This window comes from Homo sapiens, chromosome 9, assembly GCF_000001405.40.
Source record: "Homo sapiens chromosome 9, GRCh38.p14 Primary Assembly".
Classification (NCBI taxonomy): domain Eukaryota; kingdom Metazoa; phylum Chordata; class Mammalia; order Primates; family Hominidae; genus Homo; species Homo sapiens.
The window spans coordinates 97452364-97466525 of NC_000009.12; the positions used below are offsets into that span (position 1 = coordinate 97452364).

Here is a 14162-nt window from a genome sequence, read left to right on the forward strand (position 1 = left end):
GGTGCCTTGTTAGGCCTATGTTTAATCTTAGTAAATGCTTATTTGAATGTATAGAAGCCAAATCATTGGAGAACAAGTGAAATGTAGGCACATAACTAACTGTTTTGAGATAAAAGAATAAACCATTAAAGACTGGAAAGTGCTTACAATTCAAGGAACTGGTCATTAGAGTGGGATATGGTTATCTACTTTAAACAATAAGAATAATATAAAACTGCTGAGGGAAAAAATCTGTCTTCTAATTCAGATGATTATTTGGCTATGGTTTGTACTTTGGGTAAATTCAGACTTATTGGTCAAAAATTCACTTTATAGGCTGACTGGCAAAGTTTGACTTAAATGCTGCAGACACAGCCCTGGAAGCTTAGTACCTCCAGATGATCTTTAAGTATTATTCTGGAATAAAAGCCAGAAAAAAATGGGAATTCTGCTCTTGCCCTGGACCAACTCAAGTGGACATAACGTCCCTAACTTCAGTTAAGACAGCAGTTCCTATTTGGAAGAACTTGTGCTGGTCATGTCAGAGGTCATTGTTAGAGGTTTGATAGGTATGTTATTAGGTAATTGGCACTAATCACATCTAAGGCACAGATGGAATGGCAGTCTGGGGACTGGGAGAGGGGAGACTAAGCAATGAAGCATCCCAGATTCTCAGTACACTCCTTGGAAAGAAAAAGATAATAAAGCCGAAGAACCCTCTTACCTTCTTTGGGTTAGAAGAAGGCTATATGGACAGTGGGGGATGGGGCTTAGGAAGTTATTTTAGATAAGATGGGTTATCGTCCACTGAAAGTAGTTTCTACCACCCACTTCAGAGAAAGTATTGAGATTGGTATGTGAAAACTGAAGAAAAGTTTTAAGGTGGGCTTTACAGGCTCATCTGGGTTTGGCTGCAGAGAACCACCACATCTAAATCTAAAATTAGTCAAGTGCTGCATAACAACATTTTGGTCAATGATGGACTGTATGTATACACAATGGTGGTCCCATAAGATTATAATGGAGCTGGGGGCGGGGGGCAAGAAAGCTGACTAGAAGCAGCAGCTTTTGGAGGCTCCCATTGAAAAAAACCATAATAAGTGTGTGAATCCTTCATTGGCAACCCAGGGTATCCAGGTTCTCTCAGCAAAGTAGAGTAGAAGGCTGGCATGACTCACAGAGAGAATGAAGAACAGTATGGTACGGCAGCCCACCTGAGAGCCACATGGGGAAGGGGAACCCTTTTCCCCCAGCCAAGGGAGGCAGTGAGTGAGCAACCCATCAGTGTGCTATGTTCAGGAGACCCATCTTACATGCAAAGACACACACAGGCTCAAAATAAAGGGATGGAGGAAAATTTACCAAGCAAATGGAAAGCAAAAAAATAAAAAAGCAGGTGTTGCAATCCTAGTCTCTGACAAAATGGACTTTAAACCAACAAAGATAAAAAAAGACAAAGAAGGGCATTACATAATAGTAAAGGGAACAATTCAACAAGAAGAGCTGACTATTCTAAATATATATGCACCCAATACAAGAGCGCGCAGATTCATGAAACAAGTTCTTAGACACCTACAAAGAGACTTAGACTCCCACAGAATAGTAGTGGGAGACTTTAACACCCCGCTGTCAATATTAGACCAACAAGACAGAAAATTAACAATGATATTCAGGACTTGAACTCAGCTCTGGATCAAGTGGACCTAATAGACATTTACAGAACTCTCTACCCCAAATCAACAGAATATACATTCTTCACAGCACCACATGGCACTTATTCTGAAATTGACCGCATATTTGGAAGTAAAATGCTCCTCAGCAAATGCAAAAGAACTGAAATTATAAAAAACAGTCTCGGCTGGGTGTGATGGCTCACGCCTGTAATCCCAGCACTTTGGGAGGCTGAGGTGGGTGGATCACGAGGTCAGGAGATTGAGACCATCCTGACTAACATGGTGAAACCCCATCTCTACTAAAAATACAAAAAATTAGCCGGGTGTGGTGGCAGGCACCTGTAGTCCCAGCTACTCAGGAGGCTGAGGGAGGAAAAATGGCGTGCACCAGGGAGGCAGAGCTTGCAGTGAGCCGAGATCGTGCCACTGCACTCCAGCCTGGGGGACAGAGCAAGACTCCGTCACAATAAAAGAGAGAACGCAGTGCAGTTAGATTAGAATTCAGGATTAAGAAACTCACTTAAAACCACACAATTTCATGGAAATTGAACAACCTGCTCCTGAATGACTCCTGGGTAAATAATGAAATTAAGACAGAAATCAAGAAGTTCTTTGAAACAAATAAGAACAAACAGACAATGTACCAGAATCTCTGAGACACAGCTAATGCAGTGTTAAGAGGGAAATGTATAGTCTAAATGCCCACATCAGAAATCTAGTAAGATCTCAAATCGACACCCTAACATCACAAAAGAGCTAGAAAAGCAAGAGCAAACTAATTCAAAAGCTTGCAGAAGACAAGAAATAACTAAGATCAGAGAAGAATTGAAGGAGATGGAGACAGGAAAAACCCTCCAAAAAATCGACGAATCCAAGAGCAGTTTTTCTTTTTGAAGATTAACGAAATAGACCTCTAGCTAGACTAATAAGAAGAGAGAGAAGAATCAGATAGACACAATAAAAAACGATAAAGGGGATATCACCACTGACCCCACAGAAATACAGACTACCATCAGAGAATAGTATAAACACCTCTACACAAATAAACTAGAAAATCTAGAAGAAATGAATAAATTCCTGGATGCATACACCCTACCAAGACTAAACCAGGAAGAAATCGAATCCCTGAGTAGACCAATAACAAGCTCTGAAATTGAGGTAGTAATTAATAGCCTACCAACCAAAAAAAGCCCGGGCCCAGGTGGATTCACAGCTGAATTCTACCAGAAATACAAGAGGAACTGGTACCCTTCCTTCTGAAACTATTCCAAACAATTGAAAAGGAGGGACTTTGCCCTAACTCATTTTATGAAGCCAGCATCATCCTGATACCAAAACTGGGAAGAGATGCACAACAACAAAAAAACTTCAGCCAATATCCCTGATGAACATCAATGTGAAAATCCTCAAGAAAATACTGGCAAACTGAATCCAGCAACACATCAAAAAACTTATCCACCATGATCAAGTCGGCTTCATCCCTGGGATGCAAGCCTGGTTCAACATATGTAAATCAGTAAATGTAATCCATCACATAAACAGAACCAAAGACAAAAACCACATGATTATCTCAATAGATGCAGAAAAGGCCTTTGATAAAATTCAGTATCCCTCCATGTTAAAAACTCTGAATAAACTACGTATTGATGGAACATACCTCAAAATATGAAGAGTTATTCATGACAAATCACAGCCAATATCATATTGAATGTGCAAAAGCTGGAAGCATTCTCTTTGAAAACTGGTACAAGATGAGGATGCCCTCTCTCACCACTCCTATTCAACATAGTGTTGGAAGTTCTGGCCAGGGCAATCAGGCAAAAGAAAGAAATAAAGGGTATTCAAATAGGAAGAGAGGGAGCCAAGTTGTCTCTGTTTGCAGATGACATGATTTTATATTTAGAAAACCCCATTATCTCAGCCCAAAAACTTCTTGAACTGATAAGCAACTTCAGCAAAGTCTTAGGATACAAAACCAACATGCAAAAATCACAAGCATTTCTTTACACCAACAATAGGCAAGCAGAGAGCCAAATCATGAATGAACTCCCATTGGCGATCGCTACAAAGAGAATAAAATACCTAGGAACACAGCTAACAAAGGACATGAAGGACCTCTTCAAAGACAACTACAAACCACTGCTCAAGGAAATAAGAGAGGACACAAACAAATGGAAAAATATTCCATCCTCATGGATAGGAAGAATCAATATCATGAAAATGGCCATACTGCCCAAAGTGATTTCTAGATTAAATGCTATTCTCATCAAACTACCATTGACATTCTTCACAGAATTAGAAAAAACTATGTTAAATTTCATATGGAATCAAAGAAGACCCCTTATAGCCAAGACAATCCTAGCAAAAAAAGCAAAGCTGGAGGCATCACACTATCTGACTTCAGACTGACTATACTACAAGGCTAGAGAAACCAAAACAAGTTGGTACTGGTACCAAAGCAGACAAATAGACCAATGGAGCAGAACAGAGACCTCAGAAATAACACCACACATCTACAACCATCTGATTTCAACAAACCTGACAAAAGCAATGGGGAAAGGATCTCCTATTCAGTAAATGATGCTGGGAAAACTGGCTAGCCATATTCAGAAAACTGAAACTGGACCCCTTCCTTACACCTTATACAAAAAATAACTCAGGATGAATTAAAGACTTAAATGTAAAACCCCAAACCATAAAAACCCTAGAAGAAAACCTACGCAACACCATTCAGGACATAGGCCTGGGCAAAAACTTCATGACAAAAACACCAAAAGCAATTGCAACAAAAGCCAAAATTCACAAATGGTGTTAAACTAAAGTGCTTCTGCACAGCAAAAGAAGCTATCATCAGAGTGAACAGGCACCCTACAGAATGGGAGAAAATTTTTGCAAACTACCCATCTGACAAAGGTCTAATAATTATCTAAAATTTACAAGGAACTTAAACATATGTACAAGAAAAAAACAACCCCATCAAAAAGTGGGCAAAGGGTATGAACAGACACTTCTCAAAAGAAGACATTTACACAGCCAACAAACATGAAAAAAAGCTCAACATCACTGATCATCAGAGAAATGTTAATCAAAACCAACCACAGTGAGATACTATCTCATGCCAGGCAGAATGGCAATTATTAAAAAGTGAGGAAACAGTGTTGGTGAGGCTGTGGATAAATAGGAACACTTTTACACTGTTGGTGGGAATGTAAATTAGTTCAACTGTTGTGGAAGACAGTATGGCGACAATTCCTCAAGGATCTAGAATCAGAAATACATTTGACCCAGCAATTCCATTACTGGCTATGTACCCAAAGGAATATAAATCATTCTACTATAAAGACACACACACACACACAAATATATATATATTTTTTTTTTGAGACAGAGTCTCAAACTGTCACCTGGGCTGGCGTGCAATGGCATGATCTTGGCTCACTGCAACCTCTGCCTCCCGGGTTCAAGTGATTCTCTTGCATCAGCCTCCCAAGTAGTTGGGATTACAGGCACCTGCCACCACACCCAGCTAATATTTTGCATTTTTAGTAGAGACAGGATTTCACTATGTTGGCCAGGCTGGTCTCGAACTCCTGACCTCATGATCTGCCCGCCTTGGCCTCCCAAAGTGCTGGGATTACAGGTGTGAGCCACTGCACCCGGCCACACACGTATGTTTATTGCAGTGCTATTTACAATAGCAAAGACATGGAACCAACCAAAATGCCCATCAGTGATAGACTAGATAAAGAAAATGTGGTGCGTACACACTATGGAATACCATGCAGCCATAGAAAGGAATGAGATTATCTCCTTGCGGGGACATGGATGAAACCGGAAGCCATTATCCTCAGCAAACTAACACAGGAATGGAAAACCAAACGCCACATGTTCTCACTCCTAAGTGGGAGTTGAACATTGAGAATACATGGATACAGAGAGGGGAACAACACTTACCAGGGCCTATTAGGGGGTTATTAGGGGCCTATTAGGGTGGTTGAGGGGAGGGAACTTAGAGGGCAGGTGGATAGGTGTAGCAAACCACTATGGCACATGTATACCTATGTAACAAACCTGCACATTCTGCACATGTATCCCATTTTTTTTAGAAGGAAAAAAGATTATAATGAACCTATATAATGGAGTAGGCTATACCATCTAGGTTTGTATAAGTACACACTATGATATTTGCACAACAGATGACACGTTTCTGAGAATGTATTCCCATCGTTAAGTGATGCATGACTGACTACACTAATTGGGATTCTATATGGCAAGTTAATCATTCACTTATAATGCTGTTTTCCTTATCCATTGGCTCCGAAAGTGTGCGTTTCAAACCTCTGGATACCTAATCTGTATTCTTGTATCTTATTGAGTGTCATAAAGCACAGCGAAGATTGGCATTTTAAGATTTCAGATTTTAAAACATGGGTCTCTAGAGAAGTAGACTAACCATCAAGAGAAAGATGAGGAATGCTCCAACTATTTGTGTCCCTATGGCTTAAAATGAGGGACATAAACTGCGCCAATCATATAACATGCCATTTAGAGGGATCACAGAGTGCCAGCAGGAGACCATGACAGATTACAGGAGGTGCCATTAGACCTCTGCTTTCAGTGATGCTTTAGGCTTTCCAGGTGTGGAAGTTTTCCTCAGTCCTCAAAACTTAAGCATACATTGGTAAAAGTATGAAGAGGAAAACCTAATGTTTTATATTAATATCGTTCACTTCCTATGTGATGTAGAATATGTAGTCAGACTAAAAGGAATTTTATTACCAAGTTGCCTATGTCTTTTAACTTGTCAAAACTCTTCTCTGATAACAAGATAGCGCCTTCTTTCTTTGTACATAAATGTTTATGTTCACTCTTCCTAAGCATTGTATGGAGAGTGAAGTAAAAAGTCAGTGTTCTTTACTAATAAGCTACCTAACCAGCATACTTTAAAATTCTGTTCTTCTGGGTGGACCATGGTTCATGTAAACTTGTAATTATTACCCTAAGGGGTTAAATTGCAGCTAAGGGGTAGGTAAAATAGGATCTGACAAAATAGAAATATTTTGGAAGGCAAGGAATTTTAACTTCAGTCTAATGGTCTCGTACAGGGTTCAAGAAACTGCTTTTGTAAAGGTCCATGGTAAATGTTTAGGCTCTGCAGGCCAAGAGCTGCAACTAACAGATGCAGTCCATCACAGTTATTCAACTGTGTCACTGTAGAGCAAAAGCAGCCAGAGAGAATATGTAAATAAATGAGCATGACTGTGTTCCAATAAAACTTTATGTATATTGAGTTTCATATAATTTTTGCAAGTTATGAAATAATTCTTTTGATTTTTTTTCTAGCATTTGAAAATATAAAAATCATTTTTTAGCCCATGAGCCATGAACTGCATTGGGCCATGCTCTAGTAGTAGAGCTGACCTCTGCTCTAGTAGTAGAAAGGCTTAAAACTCAGGGAGAAAAATTATGCCATACATCAGTTTCTCTTCTCCTTCTTCTCTTACATAAAAATATGTCATCAAGCTGTGCCTCTCAGAAATGGCATGCAAATGAAATTCAAGATTGGATGACATACAAGTGCTAGGTATTTTTAATACTTGTTTGTTAGAGTGACAACACTTGCAGCTAAACTTTCTGCTGTGGTTGTTTTAAAACTGTACTTATCTCTGGAGCATCTTTTTCTAAATAATGGAAAGCCAAGGGTTTTCTCAGGCTATTGCAAGAAGAAGAGAGATGGCACTCCTATTTTTTCTAAATATTTTCTAGTTTTCTTCCCAGTGGTTTATTCCTGACAGTTTTAATACCTTTTCACAACTTATTTTTAGTCAGTTTTGTAAGCTATTGTTTTGGATTTGGCAGAAACAACTAAATGAGAGTACACGTTACAGGGCAGAGCACTTGTGATTTTCTAGGGCAGCTGGAGTCTCGATGCCGCACAAATGAATTTAATACTATTTTATTTTCCTTTTTATTTCTGAAATGTGGCTCATGTTATTTGCAGGTGGAGATAATGCATTAAAGTCCTAGCAATTGAAAAGAGTAAATCGTACACTTGATTAATTTGGAAACAGCATGACTCTCAAATTTAGAATGCATTAATGTGTTTGTGGGTTGTTTATAGTCACTGAAATATCTGTCATTTGCTTTATTTAAAAATTTCAGGTGGAGAAACCTTGCAGTGGTGGCCAAGATTTACTTCTTTATCCAGCTAAGAGAAAGCAGCTTTTGAGAAGTGAACTGGATACTGAGAAAGTACCTCTATCCCCACTACCTGGTCCCAAACAAACACCACCGTTGAAAGGGTGTCCAACAGTTATGGCAGGAGACTTTAAAGAAAAAGTGGCAGACCTGCTGGTGAAATACACAAGTGGCCTTTGGGCCAGTGCACTTCCGAAAGCATTTGAGGAAATGTACAAAGTGAAATTCCCTGAGGATGCCTTAAAAAATCTTGCCTCACTTTCTGATGTATGCAGCATAGACTACATTTCTGGAAATCCCCAGAAGGCCATTCTCTATGCTAAACTTCCATTGCCCACTGACAAAATCCAAAAGGATGCAGGGCAAGCACATGGTGATAATGATATCAAGGCTATGGTTGAACAAGAGTATTTGCAGGTAGAAGAAAGCATTGCTGAAAGTGCTAATACCTTTATGGAGGACATAACAGTTCCTCCTTTAATGATTCCAACTGAAGCATCACCATCTGTATTGGTGGTTGAACTGAGCAACACAAATGAAGTGGTTATCAGGCAAGTTTCATTTTCTAATTCTTTAGGATTCTGATATACTTTTGTCACTTGTCTATTCTTCACATGGATGTTGAGGGTTAAAGGAAGAATAATATGGCCGGGTGCGGTGGCTCACACCTGTAATCCCAGCACTTTGGGAGGCCGAGGTGGGCGGATCACAAGGTCAGGAGATCGAGACCATCCTGGCTAACATGGCGAAACCCCGTCTCTACTAAAAATACAAAAAATTAGCAGGGCGTGGTGGCGGGTGCCTGTAGTCCCAGCTACTCGGGAGGCTGAGGCAAGAGAATGGTGTCAACTTGGGAGGTGGAGCTTGCAGTGAGCCAAGATTGTGCCACTGCACTCCAGCCTGGGCGAAAGAGCAAGACTCCATCTCAAAAAAAAAAAAAAGGATAACATATTCTTAGTTCTATAGAGTTATAGTGAGGCTTAATAATGTATTAATATTTGTTAATTGTTCAAAATATACAGCTATCCTAAGACTACTAATAGCTTTAAACATTGGAATGATAATATGAACTTGAAAAAAAGATTCATGTCAAAAGCTTGTTGGTAACTATATTATGTCAAAAGCAATACCTAGTTCGCAGAAAAGGCAAGTGCCCTACACACTGCATAATACTATTTATAATCTGGGACTATGTAGTATTTCCTAAAAGTAAAAATAGCTCAGAGCTGCTTTCCTTGTATAATACATCAGATTAGACCTTGGACCCAAAGGTGCTCTATTTATTTGAGTCTTTCAGTATCGTTGCCTGAGAGGAGGTGTCATTGCCTAAGGCATCATTGCCTAGGTAGCTAACAATAACTAGAATAACAAAAAACAGTACAGCTCCAGGCACCTGTCTTGGACTTTTGGAGAAAATGCAGAATACGTGGAAAATATAGAAAGACTATAATTTGCAGTCTCCATTTGGGAAAAAGAATGGGAACCTATGTAGCTGAACCCCTGGAGGTACCAGTCCAGGGTGTGGCCATGGCTGGGCAGATCAGAAAAATGCTGAAGCAAACAGAATCTGGGCTCCTTCAACCAAATGGTCCTTTGGTTTGGGCTGTCCCTCCTCCAGAGACCCATAACTGAGATGGAAAAGCCCAAAGAAGAACCACAAAAAATAATTAGAATCCTTCAATGAAAGAAGAGCTCAAAAATTTAAAGCTCTTCCATTTGAACAAATGAAATCTGAGTAGATAATAGAGTGAACCTAGTATCTTCAGATGCTCAAACTGGAAGAACCTCCAGAAACTTTAGAGAGGATAAAGCTTTTATTCTAAGATGTGGTGTGGCCTGAAGATATAAATAGGTTGCTGAAGGCTAGAGGTCCCAATATGTTTCACTATTGTATTGAAGTAAAGGAAAGATATTGAAGGCCACATTACCACCTTTTACCATTTGACTATACTATAAAGAAACTTACACGGCAGGATCCTTTGGTATCTGTAACTAGTAACTGTTGGTGCCATAGTCAGAGACCAAGCACCGGGCCAGACCAATCACATGGTTTCTGTTGTTCACACCAAGGTTTGTCAAGGATGATTATGTCCAGGGTCGTCAGATTATTTAAATACCTTATCCCAGTAGGAATTTAAATCCTGGAGTCAGCATTTTATGTGTTCAGCAGAGTGGCTGGCAACCAGCAAGCAAGATGGGTAATGTCTGCCATTAGGTTGACCTTAGGTTATTGGCTTCTGCCCTCCCCACAAGACTTTGCAAACCTCCACCAGACTGAACCCTGTTCTGTACTGGCATCTTCACCCAGGCAGGCAGTAGGCACTGGAAGCTGGATCTCTGGCTCATTAGGGCCTGGAGGGTACTATGGCAGAACCCTCATCTCAAATATGGGAATCCCTTGTCTCAGAAATTAACTTTGTAAAACTTTGTATTTAGGGCATCTCTAAATTGGCCTATCCATCATTCTTTGCCCCCCTTGCTCAGGTAATTTGAGGATAATATATGACCTCATTCTCGTCATTACCCACTGTCATACAAGCTGTAATGTCAGTCCTGCACTGTGCCTCATCCAACACCGTCCATCTTCCCCCTATCTGTGCAGCCCTCCTTCTCTCCTGGCTGCTTAAGAGAAGAGAAGCTGCCTGCAGATCCCAAGCCATTTCTCATCACCTTCCTCCCTTCTGGCAGGAGCCTGTGTTTGGCAGACCACCACATCAGGGCTGCAGCCCAGGCCTCTGCCAGTTGAGCACCCAGGGCTACATAGCAGCACTAGGGGGAGGCCCAGTGAGACTCTAGGTCCCAGCAAATGGGCAGTCGGGTGCAGTTGCAGACCTTCTGGAGGACTTCAGAGCCAAGAGTGCAACTGCATTCAAGGCAGTGCCTTAGTATTTGCAAAGCTCAATACATTTAAATGATAATACCTGGCTCAGTGACACATACACATCCTCCCAACTACTCAGCAGGCTGAAGTGGGAGGATTGCTTGAGCCCAAGAGTCCAACCTAGGTAACACAGCAGTGAAACCCTGTCTCAAAAAAAAAATTAAACTATAAGAGTATGGCAAAGCTTCTGCAGCTATTTCTGAAGCCAATAATATGCACATAATATTTCATTTTAAAATAGCCATTGCACATGGTTTCCATTTTGTGTAGGACTTTCTGAGTTTTGTTTTTTTTTTTTTTTTTCTCCTTGTAATGAATAGCTTGACTATGGCATCTTCTGCCCTGCTGATAATTACCAAGAATACATAGAAATAGTCCTAAAGGAACCATTTCTTAGAGCTGTACAGGCCTACTTGGAGCCTGGGTGAAACCTGGAACAATACAAAGAACAAGGTTCTTGTGGCATCTCCCCTGTCTCCTGGGCCAAGTGATGCTGGTGCTGTTAGAGTATAGCCTTCCAGCTAAAAAGGCCTCGATCCTATGGCTGGGACAGCTTCTCTTACATGACCCAAACTTGATATGCCAGGTTTTACACCCTAGAAGGAGACCCTGGACGAAATCATCTCTGAGGACTAAAGCGCAAGAAAACAGTAGCCTGTTTTGATAACATGAACTGGAACAAGGTGACCACAGTTGTCAACAGTAGAAAAGTGTAGAAAGGAATAAGGACATAATCCTGAAAAAAAATATTTCTCAACAAGCATACAGTTTTAGAGACATTTGACTAGAATATGGTACCTCTTTTAAGGGTATCAGAAGTCAACATTTTGTTGTAATTTGTTCAAATTCTTTAATAAGTTTGGAGGGGGGGTGTCAACGTTGTGTTTAGTGTACTCACAGCTTTGTTTTTTCTCTAGTAAAATTTCATTGCTTTTCAAAGCTTGACCCAGCCCTAGTTAGGTTAAAACTATGTTCTAGAGTCTCTTCTTAGTAATCTGTAAAGATTTCCAGCAGCCTTAGTCAAGATCCAGCATCGACCCTCACTTCTCTGGCCTCCAGGCCTCCCTTGGTGTCTCCATTTTCCACGTCTCCTCCTCTCTCCCCTTCCTGACTTTTCTCAGCCTTGTCCTTCCTGAGGACACTATCGCTGCTTCCTGTTATGCCCTCTCGTTGTCTGGATTGCTCCACGTTTCCTTTGTTGTGGGATATGTTGGACCAAATGTTTGCTGTGTTGTTTGGTGTGTGTTTTGTGCAGTCTCCATTGTCCCTTATCTGAGAGGGAGTCTCACTCTGTCATCCAGGCTGGAGTGCAGTGGTGTGATCTTGGCTCACTGCAACCTGCAACTTCCACCTCCTGGGTTCAAGCGATTCTCCTGCCTTAGCCTCCCAAGTAGCTGGGACTACAGGCGCCCACCCCCACACCCAGCTAATTTTTGTATTTTTAGTAGAGATAGGATTTCACCATATTGGCCAGGCTGGTCTCAAACTCCTGACCTTGTGATCTGCCTGCCTCGGCCTCCCAGAGTGCTGGGATTACAGGTGTGAGCCACTGTGACCAGCCCCCTTATCTTCTTTTTCAAGAGATAAGTATTTCACTGAATACACGTTCTCCTCCCTGTTGATATAAGCAAGTCTGAGACTGGAACCAAAGATGGCAGCAGGGAAAAAAGAAGGACAAAAACGAATTCCTATTGCTTTTCTTCTTCTAGGTTACTTCATTTGCATTCTCTTCTTTTAACTGATTCAGGTATGTGGGCAAAGACTATTCTGCTGCTCAGGAATTAATGGAAGATGAGATGAAGGAATATTACAGTAAGAATCCTAAGATCACACCAGTCCAGGCTGTGAATGTTGGGCAGTTGCTGGCCGTAAATGCCGAGGAGGACGCCTGGTTACGGGCACAGGTCATCTCAACAGAAGAGAACAAAATAAAGGCAAGCACTGTTTACTTTGTCATAGCATTATGGATACAAATACCTTATTATTTTCCAAATGTAAATATTTTTTACATTTTTGAAATTTAAATGTTGTATCCTATAATTAAATGTAGTTTTCAATGGAAGTTGAAAAGATAATATCTGTAAAAGGTTATCCCTGTCAGCCTTTAAATTCGTGGTAGTTATTATTATCTCAGAGTTTTAGTTAAAAAAATAAATTCCCCATGGGAGTATTCATAACACATTATCCAATCAGGGAAAGACACTTCCTATTCCTAGGGGATGTATAATGAATACTGACCAGAACTCTGTGGGCCTCTTATCAAGGCCAGTACTTCGGAGTGAGGGAAGCCATACAGACCAAAGGAGACAATTCTTCTTCTCCCTCTTCTGTAGCCAAGACACAGGTCCTTCTCCACAGCTGCTCCCAGCGTAGCCCTCTCCACCCTCTTGAAAAGGCCAGTGGGCCCGTTTGCCACTTGCTTCCATCAGCAGACTCTTCTGGGCTTGGCTACATTCGTGGATATCAGCCTCTGCCCTTTGCCTCTTCATACTGTCAATGCAGAGACCAAGAAGCACAGTTTCCCTGAGAGCGGTAGTGTCTCAGGGCCTTGGAACACCCAAATAACATGCAGAGAAATTAGGTATTAGCTCCGTGTGCTGTGTGGTCAGTTGTACTAGTGTATTTTTAATGTGTTACTTCTTTCTATCTTGGTGGAAGCTGTGTGTCTATTTGGAATTTATCCTTTGAATAATGGGCCTGCTACTTGATAGAGAATTTGGAGGGAGAGAAAGTCTTTTCTTTCTCGATTGTTAAGATGTCTCCCTTCCCTAAAGGGAAATGCGCTTTAAGACTTGGGTTCATTTCTGTCCTTCATGATGGGAAGGACACTGTGTAGAAGGGTGACCCTAGTTCCCCACTTCTATAGTCCCTTGTATTTATACAGAGCGCTCTTGGACTGTGAGGGGAATGTATCTAAGATCTTTTGGTTTTCTCTAGATTTTGCAAGCAGGGAAATATGTTTCTATTTCTGCAGCCTCTGTTCCATAATACAAAACCTTATTCCATGTGCCACTATCAGCCGCCAGCCAGTAATCCTGTATGTGTCACTGAGTGCAAATGACCAGTCCCTGAACACAGGCTTAAGTCCATCAGTTACTGGCCACTGAACCCTAGCTACAAGTGGGAGTTAGGAGGTCAGAAAGGGATACTGCTGTTTCTTAGCAGGTTGCTCAATAGGAGAGGCCCTGACCCTCTCCAGAAGTAAGCTCACCCAACCACCCAGCCACCCTTTCCCATTTGCAGAGGCATTTAGGAAACTCCCCAGCTGAATCTACAGAGGCACAAATTTTAAGTAATTTGACTGACTTTAAAAATCTGAAAATTGGAAAATAGTTTGCCAGTTTCTTACGAACACTTAACCATATGACCCCTAAGGCCCACAAGGTGTCTTGTACATACATGTGTGTTGCAGTATTATTATTAATAGCCCC

At 41.0% G+C, this 14162-nt stretch overlaps 1 protein-coding gene across 6 annotated transcripts in view, besides 1 other annotated feature; it reads left to right on the forward strand.

The window, feature by feature from the left end:
- Positions 1-14162, forward strand: part of TDRD7 (tudor domain containing 7) — an 84030-nt gene that overhangs the window by 40268 nt on the left and 29600 nt on the right. For 4 of the 6 annotated variants that reach the window (NM_014290.3, NM_001302884.2, XM_047423113.1 and 1 more), the window contains 2 exons: positions 7815-8401; positions 12479-12665. In NM_014290.3, the coding sequence (NP_055105.2) occupies positions 7815-8401; positions 12479-12665 (774 nt within the window). Of the gene's footprint in view, positions 1-7814; positions 8402-12478; positions 12666-14162 lie in introns of those variants that run through there. The other 2 variants (XM_047423114.1, XM_047423115.1) reach the window with 2 other exon arrangements.
- Positions 11890-13089: an enhancer, noted in NCBI's record as "BRD4-independent group 4 enhancer chr9:100226535-100227734 (GRCh37/hg19 assembly coordinates)". NCBI's record gives its function as "activates an origin of replication core promoter dependent on BRD2, P300/CBP, MED14 and CDK7 cofactors, and independent of BRD4, by STARR-seq in HCT116 cells {active_cell/tissue: HCT116}" and the evidence as "EXISTENCE:reporter gene assay evidence [ECO:0000049][PMID:35650434]".